General features: G+C 49.1%; 1 protein-coding gene across 2 annotated transcripts, besides 4 other annotated features; it reads right to left on the reverse strand.

Annotated features, from left to right (window-relative positions):
- Positions 1-246: 246 nt before the first annotated feature.
- HRK (harakiri, BCL2 interacting protein) lies at positions 247-25,544 on the reverse strand. Of its 2 annotated transcripts, NR_073189.3 has the most exons (5): positions 25,079-25,544; positions 22,561-22,647; positions 20,794-20,903; positions 11,752-11,894; positions 247-5,569 (listed from the first exon to the last, which is right to left on the reverse strand). NR_073189.3 is itself a non-coding variant. In NM_003806.4 (2 exons), the coding sequence occupies exon 1, from the start codon at positions 25,408-25,410 to the stop codon at positions 25,135-25,137; it is 276 nt and encodes a 91-aa protein (NP_003797.1). In that variant the 5' UTR covers positions 25,411-25,544; the 3' UTR covers positions 247-5,569; positions 25,079-25,134. The 2 variants fall into 2 exon arrangements, 1 of the variants encoding a protein (NP_003797.1); NM_003806.4 differs by lacking the exons at positions 11,752-11,894; positions 20,794-20,903; positions 22,561-22,647.
- Positions 7,587-7,881: an enhancer, noted in NCBI's record as "tiled region #3661; HepG2 Activating DNase matched - State 13:Ctcf, and K562 Activating non-DNase unmatched - State 13:Ctcf". NCBI's record gives its function as "activates a minimal TATA promoter and a strong SV40 promoter by Sharpr-MPRA in HepG2 and K562 cells {active_cell/tissue: HepG2 | K562}" and the evidence as "EXISTENCE:reporter gene assay evidence [ECO:0000049][PMID:27701403]".
- Positions 18,105-18,314: a silencer, noted in NCBI's record as "fragment chr12:117311807-117312016 (GRCh37/hg19 assembly coordinates)". NCBI's record gives its function as "represses an EF-1alpha promoter that drives an FKBP-Casp9 reporter gene in an ReSE screen in HepG2 liver carcinoma cells {active_cell/tissue: HepG2}" and the evidence as "EXISTENCE:reporter gene assay evidence [ECO:0000049][PMID:32094911]".
- Positions 24,073-24,273: a silencer, noted in NCBI's record as "peak1984 fragment used in MPRA reporter construct". NCBI's record gives its function as "represses an SCP1 promoter by STARR-seq MPRAs in K562 erythroleukemia cells {active_cell/tissue: K562}" and the evidence as "EXISTENCE:reporter gene assay evidence [ECO:0000049][PMID:32103011]".
- Positions 25,152-25,231: a silencer, noted in NCBI's record as "silent region_4907". NCBI's record gives its function as "represses an Ori minimal core promoter by ATAC-STARR-seq in GM12878 lymphoblastoid cells {active_cell/tissue: GM12878}" and the evidence as "EXISTENCE:reporter gene assay evidence [ECO:0000049][PMID:35858748]".

The raw sequence follows: 25,544 nt of genomic DNA on the forward strand, positions 1-25,544 counted from the left end.
GTTTCCCAAACCTGTGGCCCAACCCAAGGGCATTCTTTAGGCCAGTCCTTCCCTTCAGGGTTTGGGCGGGGCGGTGGATCTTAGGAATTAGAGGAGAGAAGGAAGTGTCTGGCCTTCTGCCCAAGGGAACATTGGGGCAGGCAGGAGCCAGGGGCAGGGATCCTGTCCCTGTTATGCAGCTGGGTACTCCCAGAGTCTATGAGGGCCAGCCTTCCAAAAGGAAATGAAAACACAAATGTCTTTGGCTAGAAGTGCACAATCAGTTTTTTAATAAAGTCATTACAAATATGTACAAAGCGTCTCCAAGGTATGAAATTCCTCTTACAAAAGAGCACAACGACGTCAGAACCAACAACGTCAGAACCCAGAACGGAACGTCCCCAAGCTTATTGCCTCTCTGGCTAGGCCAGAGGCCTCACTAAGGTTCTCCAGATACCCTCCCAGCCGCCCCTGCCACGCACACGGGCTCCTTGGCGCTTATAGTGCAAAGACCTTCAGGAGAAGAAACTTGGGAGTTCAGGTTGGAGAAGAGGGTAGAAAGGAGGTAAGAAAAGCTTCCCGTGTCCTAGGAAATAAGTCATACAGGCCCTATTTGCAAATTCCTTGCACCTTCCCCGGGGCCTTATAGAAACCAGGAACACAGGGTTAGGGCATGAGTATATAAAATCCACAACGAAACCAACCAGCCTGTCCTTGAGTGTCCCCAAAGGTGACACTTTTTCCAGTAGACCTAAGTCAGGCCCCGGCTCCCAGTGGGGCCATGTGCTGGCACTCGCCCTGGAACTAGCAGTGCTGTGGGACGACCTCATGAAGGGACCCAGTGGAGCAGAGCAGTCAGCTCACGAGCGTGGGGGTCCCATGGACTCGAGTCCAAATCTTGGCTCAGGCACTTCGCTGGTGGTGTGGCCTTCAGCTAAGTTGCTTAACCTCTCTGAGCCTCAGCTTCCTCCACTGTAAAATGGGAATGCTAACAGTACTATCTGCTAAAGTGGGCATGAGGCATCGCGGAGGGGAAGACGGGTAAAGCACTTCGCCCAGTGCTTGGGAGTGGCGAGCACGCCATAAAAGGTAGCTTTGATTATTGTGTAAAGCAGCAAGGACCAGTCTGTTCATGCTGGAAATGAGTCGAGATTGCAGGCTTTTTAACTGCCTTTACCAGATAGCAGGGCTCTCAGTAAATACTATATAACAATCTGCCAGCAAAGCTTGGGGTCACAGTGGTGACCTGACAAATCTGTTAAACATCGTGAACCAGACTGGAAAGGAACATTTCACATCATCTGCTTCCGAGCAGGACTGCCCCTCCACCATCCACAAGTCAAGTCTCTTCTGAGATGGAATTCTACAACTGGCACATTGTAGATGCTCAATCAATATATGCTAAATGAATGAATGAGAATTTAAAAAATAAACTTTCAGCTTAAGCTTTAAAATGACACTTTGACATCAATTTCCTCCCCTCATGGAACTTCCAGTCAGCTCCATGGGACTAAGAAGAGTGTCTAGCTGGTCCCCCAAACCCTTAACCAACTTCTGACCTTCAGAAAAGAAATGGGTATTGACACAGAAGAGCAAAATCTGTGTTCTGGTCAATGCAACTTGTAATATCAGGTGGACACTCAAAAAGTCCACAATGGTGAGCCACTGTCCCTAAAAGATACTTGTGTAGGAGGTGGGTGGGTGAGGACTCCTCTAATGCCCCAGGGAGGGAGAGTGATATTTTATCACTGTCAGAAACATAATAATAGGAGAACATGAGATCAGCTACATACATTGTGAAAACCAGTCACAGTTTCATTTTTCTGTGACAGTATTGGGTAAATCACCCTTTCCTCTCACCATCAAAACAGAAAAGAATCAAAATAAGAAGTGGAGGCTGAGCTCGGTGGCTCATGCCTGTAATCCCAGCACTTTGGGAGGCCAAGGCAGGTGGATCACTTGAGGCCAGGAGTTCAAAACCACTCTGGCCAACATGGTAAAACCCCATCTCCACTAAAAATACAAAAATTAGCCGAGCGTGGTGGTGGGTGCCTGTAATCCCAGCTACTCAGGAGGCTGAGGCAGGAGAATCGCTTGAACCTGGGAGGTGGAGGTTGCAGTGAGCTGAGCTCGCACCACTGCACTCCAGCCTGGGTGACAGAGTGAGACTCTGTCTCAAAATAAAATAGAAGAAGAAGAAGAAGTGGAAAAGAAGTCCCCAGTATCCAAATGAAGGCGGCTAAAAAAAAAAAAAAAAAACGAACAAAAAAACAGGAACTGGGCTCTAAGAGATGCGCAGGGCCAAAAAAAACCCAAAAAAAAACAAAACAGGAACTGGGGTCTAGGACATGCGCACGGCCTAGGACCATGGACAGCAGCCATTGGGGCCAATGGGCTCCCCAGAGAAACTTCCTACTCAAGCTACACCAATAACAAAGAGAATAGGAAACGGACCCCCAAATTTGAAGAGATTGTATTTGTTTGTGGGAGATCAGGTGGGGGTGAGAAGCTTCCAGAAAGGACTGGATCTCATTCGGAGTGTTGAAGTCCCGGGGGCTCCAGTCCCAGCGGTTCCTGGCTCCCCACTCTCTGAGAGCAAGCAGCACCATCAGAAATGAAGAGGCAAAAGTCTCTTCATCTCATTATGCAGCAAGCTACCTAAACGATGATCTCAGAGGCCTCCCTCTGCTTGTACGGTCACACACACACACACACACACACACACACACACACACACACACACACACTGCTGTCTGCTGAAACCCGATATGAGGTCTTTTTTAAAATTTATTTCAAAGCCTCCCTCCCTTTCTCTCTCTCTCTCTTCACAGACGCTCTGCAGTGAAGCTAATCAAAATCAATGACTCCTTGGCAGCCAGAGAAAAGTGGGGGAGCGGTGGAGGAGAGGGAGGGATGTTGCCAGCACTTTGCACACTGTGGAAATATTTTTTAAAAAACAAGAACCACCCCACTATCTCATGCAATCCAAGTAATACAACAGGAGAGATGGTGGAGACAATATATACATATATATCATGCTTCAATTTCCTAATACAAATGTCCATCAAGAAGTCAAATCTCATATAAAAACAAGCATTAAAAACAACCCCGTGTCAAAAATCGGGGCAGTCGAGAAGTGCACTCCAATGAATGATGTGCAAGGAAAGGTCAGGATTCGATAAATACGTGGTCTCTAATAAAACAGGAGAATATCTACAAGGGACTTGGCTGAGAAGCTCTATCAGGAGGTCGTGGGTGCCCCAGTTCTCTCAGCAAAGTGGCTTCATTGAAATCAAAATCACCCAAAATGCCAACCCCAGCGTTTGGAGTTTGTATCCTCCAGGGGAAACATCAAAAGCCAGTAGGCAAGTCGGGGCTGAAAAAGGGATCCTCTCACCTTTCATCTTCTCCTGTGTCTACAGGTGGTCAGCATGCCCCCACTACGATCTTGAAGGTACAGCCTTAAAGAAGCAGAGAACTGTGATTGGATACAGCTGTGTAGTAATGGACGCCCCTCCCCAGAAAATGGGGGGAGCTGGAAAGACCCTAGTCTGTGGCTAAGAAAGTGATTAAATAGAAGCAGTGACTGTATTTCATATTATTCTAATGAATTTGCCTTCTCTAAGTTCGTAGCTTTGTGGGAATATTACCCACTGCTCTCTGCAGTCCCCAGCTAAGCGAGGGTCCCCTGCAAACATCAGCTAGGGGGAGGGCACGAGTAATGAGGAGAAACACGTTCTCCCAAAATAAGCATTATTCTTCTTTTTTTTTTTTTGGTTTGCTGAGTTCAAAGCTGCGGGGTGGGGGAGTCTTCCCTGGCATTCAGCAGCCCTGGGGTTGCATTTCTCTTTAAAGGGCTATTTAGGAAAACACAAGGAACGGATTTTAAAAGGAAGACAGAAAGAAATCCAGCTCCCAGCTTGCAGCAGCACTGAGAGGTTGTACATTCTAAAGGACCTGGTCATTTACAGCAAAGCCTATGGAGGGATAATTCCCATTTCAGCCGCATCCACCTTAACAAATGTGGATCCCACTGCTGGCTTCTTAGAACTGTACAGCAAAGCCTGTGGGGGGATAATTCCCATTTCAGCCGCATCCACCTTAAACATGGATCCCACTGCTGGCGTCTTAGAACTGGAGCGGTGTCTGCTAACCAGCCTGCTGGACCCTCTGTCTATAGGTACCGGGTGGTGACCTGCAAATCCAGCCTTGGAGAATGACCGTCCGAATCTGCAGCCTGACACCTCGCCACCTCGGCTTTGAAAATGGCAGTGTGTGGTATCCTGCACAGAGGAAGAATACCTGCTTATGTTGGATTTTTCGAAAATGAAAGCAAAAAATAATCACTGCTCCCTGAAGAGTCTTTGCAGCCAAGTCTCCGTCCAGCACACATCTTTTTTTAGCCCTTCTAGAAACTTCTGAAAATAGTAGCTTATCCTTGGGGGGAAAAAAATCAGACCTCTGTCAATCAGTGAGATGCTGGTGCATTTCATTTAAATGGCCCACTCCCTCCCACAACATCCCCCGGTTATAAATCATCTTTGAACAGAATGTAGCCATTTCTTGGCTCTTTAATCCATAAAACCTAAACCCTGAAATCCCCTTGGGGAGTGGAGGAGGCTGTGGGCTGAACTCCGAGGACACTTTTGTGGGGGTGGGGGAGATAGCAACCAAGTCATGCATGAGGTCAGCTTTCTGCCTCATAACCAGCAAGCCTCTCAATGCCATCCTCCCTCCTAGACCCCAAGGTTTGCTCCAAACCACCTCTGGATATTCGTCCCCAGGTAGAAGAAGAGAAGAGACTCTCAAGTGGCACTTTTGCAACTTGTCCCTTAAAAAAAAAAAAAAAAGAATCTGAAACAGCAAAATAGAAATCTCTCTTGTCCCCTGGCCTTCCAAGTCTGTCAACAGAATACCACAGCAGCACCAGCAGGAACGCACTTAGCACCAGCAAAATTTTAAGTGAAGCACCAGAGACACAAAAATCCCATTTCTCTTGACGTGACAGTGGGATCTAGCGATCGACCTAGGTAAGTACAGAGGGAGAGGCTAGGACGAGTCAAGAAATGGAGGCATCCCAGACTGCCCCTACACAATCGGTCCCAAGTCCTCACTTTTTTTTTCTATCATGCCTTTTGCACTGTTACCTCTTATTCCACCAGCATCTATCCCCAGGCAGTTGGCCGATGCTGGGGCTAATTCCCACCAGTCTTTGCAAATAGTTTCTAAGTACACAGCAGGCATCTCTCTTCTGGCGCCCCAGACATTACAGAATATCAAAGTTCACATCGCAAGGTGCAGAAAAGGAAGGCAACCACGTCCTCAACAAGGCATGCACTGATACGTAATATTCATATTTTCTTTTTTTATATATATAGAGCTGTATGTAAATAGCATTGGGGTGTCTGTTTCTGCAGCTGGATTTCCAAAGGGCTTCCCCAGTCCCATTCTGTGTTTCTACGATCGCTCCAGGCGCTGTCTTTACTCTCCACTTCCTTCTCGAAGTGCCAACCGCGGCCTTTCAAGCTCTGGGCTCCCCCTCTGGAAAACGGGAACCAGCTTTCTCCAAGGACACAGGGTTTTCACCAACCTGCAGAAATAAAGATTGGTATTTTGGTCAGTGCAGACAGCTGCTGGGGGTGACGTCAGTGCAGTGGGCCTCTGCACGCTCAGCCCCGGATGTCGGGAGGGGGAGGAGGGAGGGGAGAGCTACTGGATGCAAAGCTCTGGTTTTGGAGGAAGGATGCCTCAAAAGCTAGTCTTGGCACTCTTCCCCTTACCAGAATCTCTGTCTATGTAGCAGCCTTCCCCAAATAGACATTTGTGCGTGCACACACACTCCCCTCTCTGCTTTTAGACCTAGATATTTACATAGGCATCTTCAGAGATGTTTTTAAAAAGAAGAATCTAGAGACACATGAACTTTTTGCTTCTCCAAATTCAGAACAGGACCTTCCTCGATTCATTTCATAGACCCAGATTCAAGAGAGAGTTGTAGGGCAGTCTCTGTTCTCTTTTGTTTGTTTGTTCGTTCATTCATCCATTCACTTATTCCCAAGTATGCCAAGTGCCATACTAGGGGCTACAGGTTCAATGACGTAATTCTTGCCCCTTGAGGGGCTCAGAACCAACAGGGAGATGGGAAGAAGTGGATAATGACAGTCCCATGTAAAGAGCACATGCAGTCTGGGGAAACGTGGTCTATAGGAGCCCAGGGGAGGCAGCTCATAAGGGAGACAAAGCAGACTCCTCAGAGAGAGTGGCAGGCCCCTGCTGACTATTGAAGAGTGCCAGGAAACTAACCAGGATAAGAAAATGAGGCATCCTAGGCAGGGCAGAAAAAACAGCCCATACCCAGGAGCATCCACCACAGAATGCACAAAATGTGTGCACAAATGCTCATGGCAGAATTATCCATAATAGCAAAATACGGAAACAACCCAAATGTCCATCAACTGATGAATAAACAAAATGTGGTCTTTCCATACAATGGACTATTAGTCAGCCATCAAAAAGGAATGAAGTATTGATACGTGAAGATGGATGAACCTTGAAGGCATCATGCTAAGTCAAAGAAGCCAGACACAAAAGGACACATATTGTGTGATTCCATTTATATGAAATGTCCACAACAGGCAGATCTTCTGGGACAGAAAGGAGAATGGTGGTTGCCTAGGGCCGGGGCGGATAGGAGGAATTGGGGAGTGATACTCATGCGCATGGGGTTTCTTTCAGGGAAACGAAAATTTTCCAAAGTTGACTGTGAAGATGGCTGCAAAATTCTATGTATACTCCTCATCATTGACTTGTACACCTTAAAAAGGTAGGGTTTTTTGTTTGTTTGTTTGTTTGTTTGTTTGTTTGTTTGTTTTTGAGACAAGGTCTCGTTCTGTTGCCCAGGCTGGAGTGCAGTGGTACGATCTCAGCTCACTGCAACCTCTGCCTCCTGGGTTCAAGCAACCTCTGCCTCCTGCCTCAGCCTCCCAAGTAGCTGGGACTACAGGTGCATGCCATCATGCCCGGCTAAATTTTTGTATTTTTAGTAGAGACTGAGTTTTGCCATGTTGGCCAGACTGGTCTTGAACTCCTATCTTCAAGTGATCCACCCACCTCAGCCTCCCAAAGTGCTGTGATTACAGGCATGAGCCACCGTGCCCAGACTTAAAAGGACAGATAAGGTGGCTATAAGTTAGCGGGGGAGATAAGAACGTATCACCCGTTATTCTAAAGCAGGTGGCATATGAACGAGCATGTGGGTAATACACACCAAGTGATATAGGAGAGAAAGTGGAAGGGAGATCACTTTATGGCTTCTGGGTTTGAAAAAGTCTGAGATGTTGACTTGCATGAACTGTAGCAGCTGGTACCCTTGACTTCTGGCTTCCTTCTGGGTTTGGCCAACAGGAGGCACTAATGGGAAAGTAAGATCAGGTGTTTGTTCCCCAGCTCCCCTCCCACTGGTCAGAGGTTGGCCACAGCCGCTGTCTGGACTCTGGTACAGTGACACCCTCCTGGAGACTCCAGGTCCCATTCCTTACCCTGGCACCTTCAGGCCAGGGTGGGAATAGCTCCCCTCTATGGCCAAGCCTGGGTACTGCATTCACTCTCGCTGGTTTCCCAAACCCTGCCCACGCCTTTGCTGTTGAAGCTGTCCTAAATTCTCCTCTGATTACTGAGTTTGGAAACACTTTCTGCCTCTTACTCGGGCCCTAATGGATACATCTGACTGCATGAAAGATATGAGTCATAAACACATGGACCCCATAGTCTATGTCAGCTGACAGTCACAAGGATCCAAATCAGTGACTTCAAACCTTTTGCTTTTTTTTTTTTTTTTAAAGAAACTGGGTCTCGCTCTGCCACCCAGGCAGGAGTGCAGTGGCGCCATCATAGCTCACTGCACCCTCGACCTCCTGAGCTCAAGCGATCCTCCCACCTCAGCCTCTAGCTGGGACTATCGGCATGCACCACCACATCTGGCTAATTTATTATTTTTATTTTTTCTTTTAGAGACAGGGTCTTTCTATGTTGCCTAGGCTGGTCTCAAACTCCTGGCCTCAAGCAATCGTCCCGCATTGGCCTCCCAAAGTGCTAGGATTACAGGTGTGCGCCACCACACCAGGCCAATTCCCCTTCTATCTCACGAGGGCACAAACACAGTAGGAACTCTGCATTGTTATGTAGCCACCATATATTTTCATAGAATATGGAATTAGTCATCAATCAACTCAATTGATAAATACATTCTAAATTTAGTTTATGAAACCAGCTTTTGTAACCCCTAAACATCTCTGTTGGTGTCTAGCCATAAACCTACAGAATGAAAGTCAGTGTAACCCTGCAGCATTAGCCTAAAATAATTATGCTGCCTTAAGCACAGGTGGGATGGAAGGAGAGACAGGAACACTTATTAAGTACCTATTATGCTATTGAGTGTGTGGACATCGTGCTAAGCATGGTTATCCGCACCAGATAAGGCCAGGTGCCTGCTTTAAATTTGCCTCCAGGCTTACTGGAAGGATATGCCATGCCAGAGACCAGTACTGTAAATGACCAATATCTGGAGGTGAACCAATAGCCTAGAAGTCAGAATGGGGTTACAATTACCAGGGAAGCTTCAGCGCGGACCCAGGATTTGATCAGGACCTAGAACACACACACATATTTTTTCCATATTTGGAAAAAGGAAGCGTGGCTTAGGTGGGGGAAGGGCCCAAACAAGACCAAGGACAGTGATAAGCATGGCACAAACAGGGAAGCGTGATGAGCAGGGAACTGTATCAGAAAGTTGTAGGAATTGAGGCCAGGTGCTATGGCTCACGCCTGTAATCCCAGCACTTCAGGAGACTGAGGAGAGAGGATTGCATAAGCCCAGGAGTTTGAGGCTGCTATGGGCTATATTTTATATATATAGGGTTTCTTTCTTTCTTTTTTCCAAGCAGCAGTAGTAATCGTGCAATTTAAAACTATTTTTAAAACATCAAGTCCATCAACCCCTGTGAGCCACTGCCCCACCCTTGGGATGTGTTCCCTTAAACTTGGCTCGTAAAGAATTTTCTCAGATGCTAACTCACAGCCAAAACTCGTGGCTGAAGTGATTCATGAAATACCTTTGAAAAAATGTCCCTGTTTCCATTTTTCATCCACCGTGTGAGGGGGGAGGCGGGCAGAGAGGGAGAACTTGAACCCACAAGGTCCTGCCTCCGTGGGCTGCAGTGATGTTGTGCCGCTTTGGGTATGGAAGGTGAAAGCTGAAAACCGTAAACCCCAGTGCAGCATTAGATGGGGCAAGAGGCTTATTCCCTTTTTCTGATGTCAGCAAAGAATTAGGACTCTTGGATTCCCTCCTAAGAGGCCCCAATTTTTAATTAAAAAAAAACCTTGGCCGGGTGTGGTGGCTCTTGCCTGTAATTCCAGCACTTTGGGAGGCCAAGGAGGCCAGAAGTTCGAGACCAGCCTGGGCAACATGGCAAAACCTCATCTCTACTAAACATACAAAAATTAGCCAGGTGTGGTGGTGCACACCTGTAATCTTCGCTACTCAGGAGGCTGAGGCACGAGAATCTCTAGAACCCGGGAAGTGGAGGTTGCAGTGAGCTGAGATCATGCCTCTGCACTCCATCCTGGGCAACAGAGCCAGACCCTGTCTCAATAAGTAAATAAATAAATAAAATTTAAAAAATACCTTTTTTGCCCTTGCTATTTGCACAAGTGATAAGTTACAAATTCAAACAGCAAAGAAGAATATAAAAATAAAAGGAAAGCCCCTTCAACCCAACCCTTAAGCCCCACTCCCTTTCCCAGAGGCAGCCAGTATTACCGGCTGGTTGTGTAGCCTCCCAGAGTATTTTCTGGTCATTTGTATACGCCATGTCTCTTTTTTGTTCTTTTCCTACCATTAGGTTCCCAGAGCCCAGCACAACGCCCAGCGTATACTAGGCGCTCAATTCATTATCTACTGAGGGAGAGTAAATAAGTGGCAAACGAATAAAGATGACAGGCTGGGTGTGGTGGCTCACGCCTGTAATCCCAGCAATTTGGGTGGCCGAGGCAGGTGGATCACTTGAGGTCAGGAGTTTGAGACCAGCCTGGCCAACATGGTAAAACCCCATCTCTACTAAAAATACAAAAATTAGCCAGGTGCGGTGGCGCACACCTGTAATCCCAGCTAGTCAGGAGGCTGAGACAGGAGAATCACTTAAACCCGGGAGGCAGAGGTTGCAGTGAACTGAGGTGGTACCATTGCACTCCAGCCTGGGAGAGAGAGCAAGATTCCATCTCAAAAAAAAAAAAAAAAAAGCAGTTTCTCGCATCTTCTGTCTTTGGTTTCAGCAGGTTGATTTTGACCAAGGAGTTTCAATGGTACCAATCATCCTAGTCCCTAAGACTTGAAGGAAGGACTGGGCATGGTGGCATGTGTCCCTAATCCCTGCTACTCAGGTGGCTGAGGCAGGAGGATTGCTTGAGCCCAGGAGTTTGAGGCCAACCTGGACAATATAGCAAGACCCTGTCTCAAAAAAAAAAAAAAAAAAAGACTTGGAGGAGAAGCTCTCCATGCAGAATCCTCTTGAAAAGAAGATTGCTCCGGTCCATGTTATCCCTTAAATCTCCATCTGTATAGTTCATGTCGGCCAGGTAGGAAGCTGAGTGCACAGGAGACTGTGGAAAGGAAGCTGAAAAGATGGCTAGGTTGTGATGTGTGAGGAAGGAAGAGGCCATTTGGCAGCCTCTGGAAGAAGTATTTGCTCTCCTTGGCCCAGCTCTCTTCTATCAGTGAACAGTTATCAATGCTATCAGCTACTAGATAGTGATTACTTAAAGTCTATGGAGAGAGACCTGAGCTCCTACCCACTAGGAACTTACGGCAGGTGGGCCTTGGAAGCCCAACTCGCTTGACTTTCAGAAGGGTAAGCAGTGAGAGTTGGGTAGTAGCTCAGCTCAGCACAGAATCAACGCCAAAACAAACAAACAAAAAATACAGACTCTTCTTAAGGCAAACTGTGGCCTGTAAGATAATGTTGCCCATGTCCCATGTCCCACATGTTATACTATGCACATTCTTTGACCTAACAATTTCACTTTCAGGAACTTCACTTTTTGTTTGCAAAGTTGTCCAAATATGAATGTCCCCTGCCGGGCACAGTGGCTCACACCTGTAATCCCAGCACTTTGGGAGGCCAAAATGGGAGGATCACTTGAGCCCAGGAGTTCCAGACCAGCCTGGGCCACATAATGAGACTCCATCTACACATATACAAAAAAAAACTTTTTTTTTTTTTTTTGAGATGGAGTTTCGCAATTATTGCCCAGGCTGGAGTGCAATAGCGTAATCTTGGCTCACTGCAACCTCCGCCACCTTGGTTCAAGCTATTCTCCGGCCTCAGCCTCCCAAGTAGCTGGGATTACAGGCATGCACCACCATGCCCCGCTATTTTTTTTGTATTTTTAGTAGAGATGGGGTTTCACTATGTTGGCCAGGCTGGTCTCGAACTCCTGACCTCAGGTGATCCACCTGCCTTGGCCTCCCAAAGTGCTGGGATTACAGGCCTGAGCCACTGCGCCCGGCCACAAAAAATTTTTAATTAGCCAATTGTGGTGGTGCATGTCTATAGTCCCAGCTACTCAGGAGGCTGAGGTAGGAAGATCACATAAGCTCAGGAGTTTAAGTTATAGTGGGCTATGATCATGCCACTGCACATCAGCCTGGGTGACACAGAAAGACCCTGTTTCTAAAACAACAAAAAAAGTGCCTAACAACCTTGTTTACCCTACCAGAAAACAGGAAACAATGCAAATGTTCCCAAGGAAGTGACCATATAAGGAAATCCTGGTTCATCCAAGCAACAGAACATCATGCAGCCATTAAAAAGGATGAGGAAAACCTTTGCGTGTTGACATGGGAAGATCTCAACCACCTATTTTTAGTGAGGAAAAAGCAGGTTACAAAACAGCATGAACAGTATGAGCTCATGTATTTAAAATAGGATGCGTGTGTGGGTGTCTATGCATCAAGGGAAGAGCATAGGGGGCTCCCTGAAATCAGGGGTCATGAACTGAAATGCACTGGACCCACTAAAGGTACCCAGGAGGGGCTGGGGACACTGTAGTGTTTTTGTGCTTTCTAAAGGGGTTTCTGACATTCATCTCCAGCCTGTTTCTGCCACATGGGAATACATGTGTTAGAATACATTGTTAGATCTTTTCATTTTTCAAGAAAAATTGGAAATACAGGCTTCTACCTGAAAATGACTGATTTTTTTTTTTTTATGGGATCTCACTTTGTTGCCCAGGCTGGTCTCGAACTGCTGGGCTCAAGTGATCCTCCTGCCCCAGCTTCCTGAGTAATGGGCACTACAGGAACATGCCACCACGCCTGGCTAAAATGCCTGACTTTTAAGTGTTGGGAGAAAACCACGCAGGTCAAACAGAACTCAACTGCAAGCCAAATTCAGCTAGAAGACCACCCATTTTCACCCTGCCTGAGATACTCAGACACTCCTACTATCCCCTGGCATTTAAGCTCGCCTCATCTTAACCCTCAGCAGCTATCTCTGGGCCCCAGGTTCTCCATCTGTACAATGACGGAGATGGGTTAGATGTCTCTAATGTCGTGTCTGGCTCTGGCTATGTTTCCAGAACACAGACCCTTTTGGCTCACAGATCTTTTGAGAATTGGATCCAAACTATGTTTTCTGTCCCAAGTAGGGGAAAGTAGAAGAGGAGGATGAAATCAGCCATGTTATTAGCTTGATTACTGGGTGTTCACAAATTTCCTGAGGCCTCCCCTACATTCATTCATTCATTCACCAGTTAGTGAATGTCACCATGGCCAGGTGCTGGGATACAGTAATGGGCAAAATAGGCATGGCGGTTTGCATCTTTCTGGGACCTGAAGGCCAGTGTTGCCCGGGCTGGGAAGCCCTGATCTAGTGGTTCTCCCAGCCCTGTCAGAGTGGCCTAAGTAGGCCCTTGGTGAGTCCCAGATTGGGGAAGGCAGGATTAAAGCAGATTAGCAACTGCCTTAAGCAAAAGGCTTACCATAAAGATGGGCCATACTATAAAGATGGGCCCATGGACTAAACTTCTTCTTCGTTTTTTTTTTTTTTTAAAGACAGGGTTTTTAAAAACAGCCTGTTGTCTGGGCTGGAGTGCAGTGGCACAATCATAGCTCACTGCAGACTTGACCTCCTGGGCTCAAGCGATCCTCCCACCTCAGCCTCCCGAGTAGCTGGGACTACAGGTGTGTGCCACAATGCCTGGCTAATTTTTGTACATATTTTTTTAAAATAGAGGCGAGATTTCGCCATGTTGGCCAGGCTGGTCTTGAACTCCTGATCTCAAGTGCTCTACCCACCTCGGTCCCCCAAAGTGCTGGGATTACAGGTGTGAGCCACCACACCCAGCCTATGGACTCAATTTTACACCAAATAAGAACAACACATATCATAGGCTGTCACTCACCATGTTCTGAACACCAGTACATCCTTGTACTGCACTGGAGTAGATTATAGCATGCTAGGAGCTCACTACAGAGATAAAACAGAATTTATTCTCCAAGCCACTCACATGTAGAGGGGGCTGAATCTGCGCCAGCTGCTTTATACATAGTGCTCCTCCAGCACAGATGCTATTATTCTTCCCATTTTACAGATGAGGAAACCAAGGCTCAGAAGGTAATGGGATCGGCCTAAGGTCACACAACTGGCAAATGCGAGATGGAGAAAGTGATGTGAAAGTCGGCCTGACTCCAAAATTCATGTCCCTTTCCATGAAGCTTCCCTGCCTCAGCATAAAGTATTGGTGAGGAAGATACACAGTTACCAGAGTTAAATTTTCTGAATCAAGCCTTAGGCTTTTTGGTCTGCCAACAGTCTCACATATTCTAAGTCTGAGCTATCTTTGAAAAATGGACCTTGGCCACGCGTGGTGGCTCACACCTGTAATCTCAGCACTCTGGGAGGCCAAGGCAGGCATATCTGGATCACTTGAGGTCAGGAGTTAGAGCACCAAACTGGCCAACATGGTAAACCCCTTCTCTACTAAAAATACAAAAATTAGCTGGGCGTGGTGGTGGGCACCTGTAATCCCAGCTACTCTGGAGGCTGAGGCGGAAGAATCGCTTGAACCCGGGAGGCAGAGGTTGCAGTGAGCCAAGATCGTGCCGCTGCACTCCAGCCTGGGCAACAGAGTGAGACTCCATCTAAAACACACACACACACACACAAAACAGAAAATGGTACCTCTTCTTGAATCCATTCCAGTAACTCAGACACATCCCCACTCCTGGAAGACCTCCCTCTCCACCCAGGCAAGCCATTTTGTCTTAGTTTCTCCAGCATCAGTGTGTTAGCATTTTACAGGACTTATTAAGTACCATGTGCTAGCTCCAAGAATATTAGATGAACATGATTCCTGCCCCCAGGATGATAGGTACAGTCAGGCAGAGAAGCTTTCCAGATTAGTGACATTACTGAGACTTGGAACCTTTCCCTGAAGTGGGGAGAGGCACGCTAGGCGTCATCCACACTCCCACACTGGCTAGAGGTGTGGTCCATGAAGACCAGTCCACAGCAAGGCAACAGAGATTCAGCTGAGGCCAGTCACAGCCAGCTCAAAAGCCAACAGACACCTGACATATAAAGGCCAGTGACATGGGCTGGGCACAGTGGCTCACACTTGGAATCTCAGCACTTTGGAAGGCTAAGGCAGAAAGACTGCTTGAGCCCAGGAGTTCCAGACCAGACTGGGCAACATAGCGAGACCCCATCTCTAAAAAAAAGTAAAAAATTAGTGGCACACACCAGTAGTCTCAGCTACCGGAGAGGCAAAGGTAGGAGAATCACTTGAGCCCAGGTCGAGGCTGCAGTGAGCCCTGATTGTGCCATTGCACCGCAGCCTGGGCAACAGAGAGACCCTGTCTCAAATAAATAAATAAAGGCCAATGACATGAATGAGATATGGGAGCCAACGGCAGTGTTTCCAGATCTTGACATGATTTTATGCTCTAGACAGCCTTTATAATACAAGAATGCTAACTATGTTTTTTGTTTGTTTGTATTTGAGACAGAGTCTCGCTCTGTCGCTCAAGCTGGAGTGCAATGGCATGATCTCGGCTCACTGCAACCTCTGCCTCCTGGGTTCAAGCGATTCTCTTGCCTCAGCCTCCCAGGTAGCTGGGATTACAGGCACGCGCCACCACGCCCAGCTAATTTTTGTTTTTGTTTTGTTTTGTTTTGTTTTGTTTTGTTTTGTTTTGTTTTAGTAGAAGCGAGGTTTCACCATGTTGGCCAGGCTGGTCTTAAACTCCTGACCTCAGGAGCTCTACCCACCTTGGCCCCCTAAAGTGCTGGGATTACAGGTGTGAGCCACCACACCCAGCCAAAAGAACGCTAAATATGTTTTGATATCAAAGTTACATTTGAGAGCATTAAAAACATTTTTTTTTAGATGGAGTTTCTCTCTGTCACCCAGGCTGAAGTTCAGTGGCACGATCTCGGCTCACTGCAACCTCCACCTCCCAGATTCAAGCGATTCTCTTGCCTCAGCCTCCCAAGTAGCTGGGACTATAGGCATGTGCCACCACACCAGGCTAATTTGTTTCTATTTTTAGTAGAGATGGGTTTCACCATGTTGGTCAGGCTGGTCTTGAACTCCTGACCTCAAATGATCCACCCACCTCGGCCTCCCAAAGTGCTGGGATTATAGGTGTGAGCCACCGTGCCCAGCCAAAAAAAAAAAAAAAAGTATTATTATTATTTTTTTTTTTTTGAGACAGGGTCTTGCTCTGTCGCCCAGGTTGGAGTACAGTGGCGTGATCACAGCTCACTGCAGCCTCAACCTCCCTGGGCTCAAGCGATCCTCCCATCTCAGCCTCCCGAGTAGCAGGACTACAGATGCAAGCCACCATGCTTGGCTAATTTTTCTTTTTTCTTTTTTTAGTAAAGATTGGGTCTCACTTTGTTGCCCTGGCTAGTATTGAACTCCTGGCTTCAAGCAATCCTCTCACCTGTGAGCATTAAAAAAATTTGTTTTAATTAGTTCTTTTTTTTTTTTCTTTGAGATGGGGGTCTCACTCTGTTGTCTGCCCAGGTTGGAGTACAGTGGTGTAATTGTAGCTCACTACAACTTCGAACTCCTGGGCTCAAGTGACTTCACAATGATGGATGGGGAATGTAAATGATGGACTAACCAAATAAAGCAATACCAACCAACTTCTAAGCATGGTGGCTCACGCCTGTAATCCCAGCACTTTGGGAGGCCAAGGCAGGTGGATCACAAGGTCAGGAGTTCGAGACCAGGATGGCCAATGTAGTGAAACTCTGTCTCTACTAAAAATACAAAAATTAAGCCAGGTGTGGTGGCAGGCACCTGTAATCCCAGCTACTCGGGAGGCTAAGGCAGGAGAATCTCTTGAACCTGGGAGGTGGAGGTTGCAGAGAGATTGCGCCATTGCACTCCAGCTCAGGCGACAGTGTGAGACTTCATCTCAAAACAAACAAACAAAAAGAAGTGTCTCATAGAAAAATATTAAGCTGTTGAACAAATGCCTGTGATATATGGAAAAGGTCAGGTTACAGATAATATATTTATAGTGATTCCAAGTCTTAAAGTACCTATCCAGCCAGGAATGGTGGTGCACACCTATAATCCCAACACTTTGGAAAACCAAGGCAGGAGGTCTTGAGCTCAGGAGTTCAAGACCAGCCTGGGCAACATAGCAAAACCCTGTCTCTACAAAAAATACAAAAATTAGCCAGGTGTGGTGGCGTGCACCTGTAGTCTCAGCTACTCAGAAGGCTGAGGTGGGAGAGTCGCTTGAGCCCAGGAGGTTAAGGCTGCAGTGAGCTACGATCCTGCTACTGCACTCCAGCCTGGGTGACAGAGTAAGACCCCGTCTCAAAAAAACAAAGAGAGAGAGAGACAGAGACAGAAACAGAGAGAGACAGGAAGAAGGAGGGACGGAAGGAAGGAAGGAAGAGAGGGAGGGAGGGAGGCAGGCAGGGAGGGAGGGAGGGAAAGAAAGAGAGAAAAAGAGAAAGGAAGAAAGAAAGGAAAGAGAAATGGCAGAAAGAAGGAAAGAAAATCACATCACTAAAGGGTCAAATCTAATGCAATGGAAAGGTAGAAAGGCTTAGAATCTGTCTGGTCTTTACATGGGAAAGGACTGCAATCTTCTGCTACTCAGACCTTCTGCTCAAAGCTGAACCTCCTTTCTCCAGAGGCAAGACTACAATTTTCTTTTTCATTTTTTTGTTTTGTTTTGTTTTGTTTTGTTTTGAGACAGAGTCTCATTATGTCACCCAGGACAGAGTGCAGTGGCACAATCATAGCTCACTGCAGCCACAAAGTCCTGGCTCAAGCAATCATCCTGCCTCAGCCTCCCCAGTAGCTGGGATTACAGGCACATGCCACCACGCCTGACTACAATTTTCTTTTATTCAGCATTTTCCAAATAGTTGCCAATGAACTTGTCATATTTTTTGTCATCAAGAAAAAGTTATTTATTTTTCTGAGACAGGGTCTCATTCTCTTGCCCAGCCTGTAGTACAGTGGTACGATTATAGCTCACTATAGCCTCAGTCTCCTGGGCTCAAGCAATCCTCCTACCTCACTCAGCCTCCCGAGTAGTTGGTAACACAGGTGCAGACCACCATACCTCACTAATTTCTTATTTTTTGTAGAGATGGGGTCTCACTATATTGCCCAGGTTAGTCTCAAGTTCCAGGGCTCAAGCAATCTTCCCACCTCAGCCTCCCCAAGTGCTGGGATTACAGGCATGAGCCACCACATCCAGCTACTTTTTAAAAAAGTAATATTATATCAAGTTTCCCAGAGCAATTAAATTCCACCCTGCCCAAGTCTCTGGCCCATGGAGCAAAGGTTCAGTGTGGGAAAGCTCTGTGGAAAGCAGCCATCTTGGATAAGCCAGTTGCCTCCCCACAGGAAAAGGAAGGAGCTTTCTCCTTGCCTGGCCAACCAGAAGTCGTAAAAGGATGCAACTTATTGATGTGGGCTAAATCAGAAATCCCCCACCCAACAGCAGGGGCACCAGTTTAGAGCAGGAAAGGAGAGGGGAGCCAGTGCTGAGTTGAATGGTGAGAGTTCTAAGGGTGATGGAAACCCAATCGATGTCCACAATGTTCCCCTGGCACTGAGGGGAGTGGGCATGAGTGAGTTGGTTCAGGGATCAGGACCTCTCAGACCTTGGCAGGAGGTGAACTGGTTTATTTCTACTAAGAGGTGAGGGCAGGGGCAAAGCCTGGGTCTCCTGTCTCTGAAAGAGTCTGGGGTCACCTGAGGGCTGTGGCTGGGACTCATTCATCTCTGCATCCCTGCATCTGGGCACCCAGCCCTGGCACCAAGCTACACTGCTTGTTTTTCTTTCCTGAAACGTACTATGCAGTCTTACCTCCGGGCCACTGGACTTAGCTCTCTCTCTTCCCAAAACACCTTTCTCGCATGTCTTCATATAGCTGGCTCCTTTCTGTCATTCAAGTCCACTATTCCCCTGGTTCCTCTTCAAAGTGTCCTGCCTTCCCTCATCACCACAGGTGAGGAGTCCCTGGGGCACTCTCTATTGTGTTACCTTTGTGTATTACCTTCAAAGCCCTGAGGAGTTTCTAAAATTATCTCTGTGTTAGATTGCATAATCCAAAGGTGGCCACTAAAATATCTCCCATTCCACATGCTATTCTAGAACCTCACCACTCCCCCATGAGGTGGAGTCTAATTCCGCCCCACCTTGAATCTGTATCAGCTTGTGACTTGCTTCTGACCCAAGTGACTTTGGAAGCTGGGACAGAAAAAGCAAAGCAGCTTCCACCTAGTTCCCTGGGGTACTTGCTTTTGGAGCTCTCAGTCACTGTGTCAGAATCCGGCTGCCATGCTGTGAGGAAGCCCAAGCCACACGAAGAGGCTGAGTATAGCTGCTCCAATTGACAGCCCCAGCTGACTCCCAGTATTAACAGCCAGACATGTAAATAAGGTTGCCTCCCCACCCATGACTCCAGTCCCCAGCCATCCTGGAGCAGAGACAAGTCACCCCCACTATGCCCTGACCAAATTCCTAACCCACAGAATGTGTGAGCATGGTCAAATATGTCAGCCTTCCATATAGGTGAGTTCCACATCCATGGATTCAACCAACCTCAGATCAAAACTATTGGAAAAAAAAATTTAAAAATAACACAAGTATAAAAAACACACATAAAAACAATACAGTATAATTAGTTACATAGCACTTACATTGTATTGGGTATTATAAGTAATCTAAAGATGATTTAAAGCCTACAGTGTGTGGGTTATATGCAAACACTACACCATTTTATATCAAGGACTTGGCATCCTTGGATTTTGGGATCCAAAGTGGGATCCTGGAACCACTCCCGCCCAGAGACAGAGGGATGGCTCTAGTTGTTTGAAGCAAAACTTAGTAGTTTTGGAGTAATTTGTTACACAGAAGTAGTAACAAGAACAATATTTACTTATTGTCTGTCTCTTCCCACTAAAATGTGGGCTCCATGAAAGCAGGGAACTCTTATGTCTTGGTCCTTCCTGTATCCACAGTGCCCTATACACAGAAGGTACTCAATAATTAGCAGTTGTATAAGTGGAAGAACCTGAATTTGGGAAACAATAGTGACTATGTTGCATAGTTTCTTTTTTTATTTTTTATTTTTTTGTAACAGAGTCTCACTCATTCTGTCGCCCAGGCTAGAGTACAGTGGCGCGATCTCGGCTCACTGCAACCTCCGCCTCCTGGGTTCATGCAATTCTCCTGCCTCAGCCTCCCAAGTAGCTGGGACTACAGGCACACACCATCATGCCTGGCTAATTTTTGTATTTTTAGTGGAGATGGGGTTTCACCACATTGGCCAGGCAGGTCTCGAACTCCTGACCTCAAGTGATCCACCCGCCTCAGCCTCTCAAAATGCTGGGATTACAGGTGTGAGCCAGCATACCCGGCTGATGTTGCATAGTTTCTGATTCATTTAACACAGCACATAGTTATTGTACACCTACTATGAGACAAGCAAGTTGCCAGGGACTAGGGACACTGTGGGTTAGCTTTCTATTCCCGTGAAATCCTATCACAGGGACACTAGTGAGGACTACCAAGAAACGGAAGCCCCCTCCCCACCTCTCGTTATCTGCCTGTCTAAAAGGCTGACTTTTCAAAAACTCTAGAGTTATGATTGCCAAATCCAGCCAGCCCACATCTGGGGGTATATTTAATTATCCCCGGGTGTGGCTCTTTTCCATCCACAGCTCAGTCACTTGTACTCTGGCCTCTCACTATGCGAGCGGATGACTCCAGACAGAGACCATGTGGCAGGAAGGCTGCCTGGTTCTGCACATCTGGCCCCTTCCCGGGGGGTTCCTCCCCAACAGCTGTCCTCCTCGGGCTCCCTCGCCAAACAGAAGGCCAAGCTTTCAAGCTCTAAAAGTAATTCTGGCAGGGGTGCTGCGAGCTGGGAGGGAGGCCTGCGGGATGCGCCTCCAGGTTTAACCACTTAATCCCCAAAGTACCTGCCAAGAACCAGTTAGCATGTCTGGCTGGTGGGCCAGGCTGTCATTAATTCATTAAAGCAGGCTCCCGCTGGCCCATTATCTTCCTTGCCACTGACCACGTCGCCTTATGGGCCTGCGGAGTCCCCCTCTCTCCCCTTCCCCTGCTCCCAAGGCAGGATTCTACCCAGCCCTGGCCCCGACTCCCAGGCAGATTCCTCGGCTCCATTCTCTCTCCCTCCCTGCCCCCTCCCCAGGCACGCTTCTCCCTCCCTCCCTCCCACGCCTCCGCCAGCCAGCACTCACCATAAAGCGTCTTTTGTTCCCTCTCTCCTGTATCTTTGAGTATTGACTGGTTAAATCATACCCATCCTCCTCCAGGCCTCCCCAGCCTCAGAGGAGCCTCCCCTGGGGCTCTGGAAGAAAGGGAATTTCACTTGTACAGGAATTCACTGTGCACCAACCCGGTCTGCTTACTGCCCCTATCTCCTCTTCCCCCGCAAGTCATGGGGTGGGGGGCGCTGTGTGCCCTCAAAGACAGAAGCTGCAGTTCCACTGGGGATCACTTAGGTGGATGCTCTCTGCCTCGGCTTCCCCTTTGAATTAAAAGGAATGACACTGACCATTTCATGACATCCTCTGTTGAGTGAAGTTAAGAGACAGACACTGCACTGGACTTTTTTGAGACAAGAGTCTCACTTTGTCGCCTAGGCTGGAGTGCAATAGTGCGATCTCAGCTTACTGCAACCTCTGCCTCTGGGACTCAAGTGATCCTCCCACCTCAGCCTCCTGAGTACCTGAGACTACAGGTGCACACCACCATGCCCAGCTAATTTTTTTTTTTTTTTTTTGGTACAGACAAGGTTTCACCATGTTGCCCAGGCTGGTCTTGAACTCCTGGGCTCAAGTGATCCGCCCACCTTGGCCTCCCAAAGAACTGGGATTACAGGACTGAACCACTGGCCCGGCCTGCACTGGACACTTTAAATGAATGTTCTCTTATCATTCTCCCAATAACCCTGGAAGGATACAGCTCCAGTTTACAGATAAAGGTGCAGAGGTAATGGTTCTTTCTCAAGGTCACGCTGTCAGCAAATGGCTGGACACTTAAGAGTCTCTTAACCATTATTCTCTCCTGACCCTTCTGGCACTGACTTCCCGGGAGGGCAGGTAGGAGTGGTGTGGAATGGCCAGCAATAATAATGGTAAAATGTTGACTACCTTGGGAAAGAATGATAGTAAATGCACAATAATAATCATGATGGCTCACATGTATATCCACTGTTCTAGAGCTTTCCGTGTATGAATTCATTTAACCCCCTTAATAACGTGCCTATGCACTAAGTCTGGCTGGTGGGCCCCCATTTTTTGCCCCCATTTTACATATGGGAAAACTTAGTCTTGGGTTTTTGTTTCTGTTTGTTATTTTTTTAAAGGATGACTTCTGAGAAAAGTATTGCTGGTTCGCAGTAGAGACTCAAAACAAGTATGCTGGATATATGTATGTGTATATACACATATATGTTTTAAATTATTATTGAGATGGAGTCTCGCTCTGTCGCCCAGGCTGGAGTGCAGTGGTGTGATCTCAGCTCTTCTTGGCTGACTGTAACCTCCGCCTCCCAGGTTCAAGCGATTCTCCTGCCTCAGCCTCCCGAGTAGCTGGGATTACAGGTGTGCACCACCACGCTCAGCTAATTTTTGTATTTTTAGTAGAGATGGGGTTTCACCATGTTGGCCATGCTGGTCTCAAACTCCTGACCTCAGGTGATCCACCTGCCTTGGCCTCCCAAAGTGCTGGAATTACAGGCGTGAGCCAACCTGCCTGGCCTGTATGTTGAAAATATTGATTCTGCATATAGCGGAGCACACCCTTTAAACCTATGGGAATTGAAAGTGGTAGTTCCCACCCTATATGGCTGGCACAGGCCTCCCTCAAACACCTAAGGTACAGCTGTGAACATTCCCCTTTTTCTTTTAGGGTAGGGAAGGTGGAGAGCACCCCATATCCAGCATAGAACGCAACAGACTGTCTTCCTCCGGTGATTTTTCTTTCCCCTTTACTTAACTTACCAGAGCTGGGAAAAAATGAGTTTCCCCAAATTAAATCAAAAGCACAAGAAAGGCCGGAGCGGCTGGTATTCTGAGGTCAGATGTAGGCTGCAGGGAGAGAACTTGATCAGGGCCAGTGCAGGGAGCCCGAGCACTGAGAACCCGGCCTGGGAGCGCAGGAAGGCGGGTGGTGAGCAATTCTACGGGTGTCCCGAGGGTATGAGGGGCGGTGCTGCTGGGAAGCCGAGCGGGGCATCCTGAGGTCAGGGCGCCAGAGGCTGCAGAACCCTGGAGGGTGTGGCTGCAGGGGACGCCCGGGCGGGACAAGGCAGGTAGGAGAAGAACCCAGAGGTGTGGGAAGAGGGTGTCTCCGAGTCAGGGCGCAGCACGGAAGTAACTCTGGGGTAGAAGGCGAGGGCGGGGCGGGGGAAATAAACTCCACAGAGACAATAACCTGCTGCTGCCCCCCAACACCGACTCAAAACAGCGAAACTCCTGGCCGCCGCCCTCCCCTGCAGCGCAGGCCCCAGTTACCCAACTCCTCCCCTGCGCTCCGGCGCAGAGCGGCGCAATCTGCCCGCCCCGCCCGCAGCCTCCCCTTCCAGGCCCCGGGAGCATTCCCACCCCGACACTCACACACCGGCAAACAGGAACACACAGTCAGGCTCCGGCCCGGAGTCCTCGGCCTCCCGGGAGGGGCACCCGACATCCCGCACGCCTGGTGCCGGAAGGGGAGAGCGTTTCCAATCTCCTGGACGACAGAACCAGAGAAAGCCGTGTCCCAGCCCTCTCTCCACAGTTCTATTTGATTTTACTACCTTCCTCTCTTTCCTTCTCATTCACTTTTCAATTGTCTTGCAACTTGTTTTCCAGGCAGTTTCTCTTTTTCTCTATCCTCCCCAAACTTCTTGTCCCTCCCCATCTCGTCGCTTGTTTTTTCTCTTCCTCTTCGCCCACTTTTTTTCTGCCTCTTCCCAAATTCCACGCTTTGGGCTTCGCGTCTGTCGCTCAACTTCCTTTTTCTGCACCCCGCGATCCATCCAAAATGTTCTTCCTGTCCCTGGGATTGGGCAGCCTCAGCCTGGCCCCTTTCAGTCGCGGGAGCCCCTGGCCTCTCCAACAGGAGAGAGAGAAGGTAGGGAGAAGTGGATGGGACCCCCGGCGCCCGGGAGCCGGGCAGAGAGCGCCCCGAAGCGCGCATTTCTCTTCGCCAGCGCCCGGGCTGCGCGGGCCCACGCGACATCTGTCGCCTGCGGTCCCGGCTCACACCCCGCGCACCCCCGCAGCTCCCTGGGCGCTGCCACCCCCCACGCTCCGGCTGCCGCCTTTCCCCGCGGGCGCAGACGCTCGGGCCTCGCCTTCAGGCGCCGCTCCAACTTCCCAGGGTGTCTGCGGCGCGCGGCGGGGCTCGGGGGCGGGGACCTAAGGGCGGCTGGCTATGTCACCTTCGAGCTTCACCTTCCGGCCCTAGACCCATCTATGGTGGGCTCAGCCTGATTCTCTCTCCCTCATTCTCTGCAGCGCTCCTCGCTACTCCAGGATCCAGAGTAGTAAGACGATGCTTACGCTGTGTGCTTCCTCAAAGCGCCTAGCACAGTGCCAGGCGCACAGCTAGGGCACAATGATCCCCCCACCCCAAGAGCCTAGTACCTTCCTCCCACTGATACCAACCACACTAGGTGCTCAGTACCCACTTCCTGTCCTAAGTTCTCAACACATGACCTCCCTAAACAGTGCCCAGCACCCCGAAGGAGCTCAATAAATGTTCCTTCCTTAAGGCTTCCCATTGGAGTTTCCCTGAAAGCCCCCTATTCCAGCCCACTCCGAGGGCGTCTCCTTCCCGTAGCAGCTACAACCGTCTGGGGAGAAGGAAGCCAAACTCCTTAAACAGGACACCTCACTCGAGAAGGAGCGAAGTTGGCAGGGCAGAGGAAAATTGCAAATGCGCGGAGCTTGGGAAGAAAGATTGGGCCAGCCAGAAACCTGGAGGGGGAGGAAGTCTCGAGATGCGCTTGGGGTGCCAGATAATGGGGATCAGAGATTGGAGAAGTGACACTTAGGGACAAGAGGTTGGGAGCAAAGGTGATGGAGACGGGGGCGACTCAGGAACGGCAAGAGGATTGGAACGGGACCGGGGACCTTTCTTGGAAGTGCGATAGATTTTAAGTATTTGGCGTGGCTTACAACTACATTCCCATAGCAAGCACACTTTTTACTTGCATTGTGTGTTTATTTGTGGGGCTGGTGGGGATTATGGAGGCTGAAGTCCTCCGCAAGCCACTGAGCTATAAGTGAGTAGCAAGATGCGCTTAAGGACTCGCAGAGATGGGGGCAGAAACGGTGGACCTTACACTTGGAAGGGAAGACTGGGGACTGGGTAGAAGAGGAGAGGTGGAGATGCTTGCAAGAGAAGAGAACGGAGGAAGAAGGAGAAGGGAAAAGAAGAAAGCCAAACTTGCCACTCTCCCGCTCCCGGGCCAGCCCAGCGTCTCCAGTGCCCAGCTGCCGCGCCCCGGCTCTCGCTCGCTCGCTCGCGTACCTGTTGCTCGCTCCGGCTGGGTCTCGGCTCCGGCCCCACCAAGAAGCCCCGCGTTCCTACAAGTTCCGCCTGCCGAGCAGCCAGGCCGCCAGCGCCGCCACCTGCGCGGCCGCGCACAGCCAAGGCCAGTAGGTGGGGAGCGCGCCGGGCGCCGGCGCCCTCCGGCTCCGCGCGCGGCGCCGCCACATGGTGCGCTGGTGCAGCTCGTCGCCTAGCGCCTTGAGCCGGGCGGCGGTGAGCTGCGCGGCGGACGAGCGCAGCCCCAGGCGACCCGCGCTGCAGGCGCACACGGCCGGGGGGCCGCGGCCGCGGTGCAGGGGGCACGGGCACATGACCGCTGGCCTCGCTCCCGCCCCGCGCTCGGGCCGCCCCTCGCCTCCTCTCCCTCCGGCCTCTGCGCCCGCTGCCGCCGCGCTCCAGCCGCCGGGGGCCTCCCCTGGACACCAAGTTTCTCCTTGTGTTGTGC

The sequence above is a fragment of the Homo sapiens genome, chromosome 12 (assembly GCF_000001405.40).
Source record: "Homo sapiens chromosome 12, GRCh38.p14 Primary Assembly".
NCBI classification, from domain to species: Eukaryota; Metazoa; Chordata; class Mammalia; order Primates; family Hominidae; genus Homo; species Homo sapiens.

What these genes read in the sequence shown, in the direction of transcription:
- HRK (NM_003806.4), bottom strand. Translation starts at nt 25,410, where the DNA reads ATGTGCCCGTGCCCCCTGCACCGCGGCCGCGGCCCCCCGGCCGTGTGC.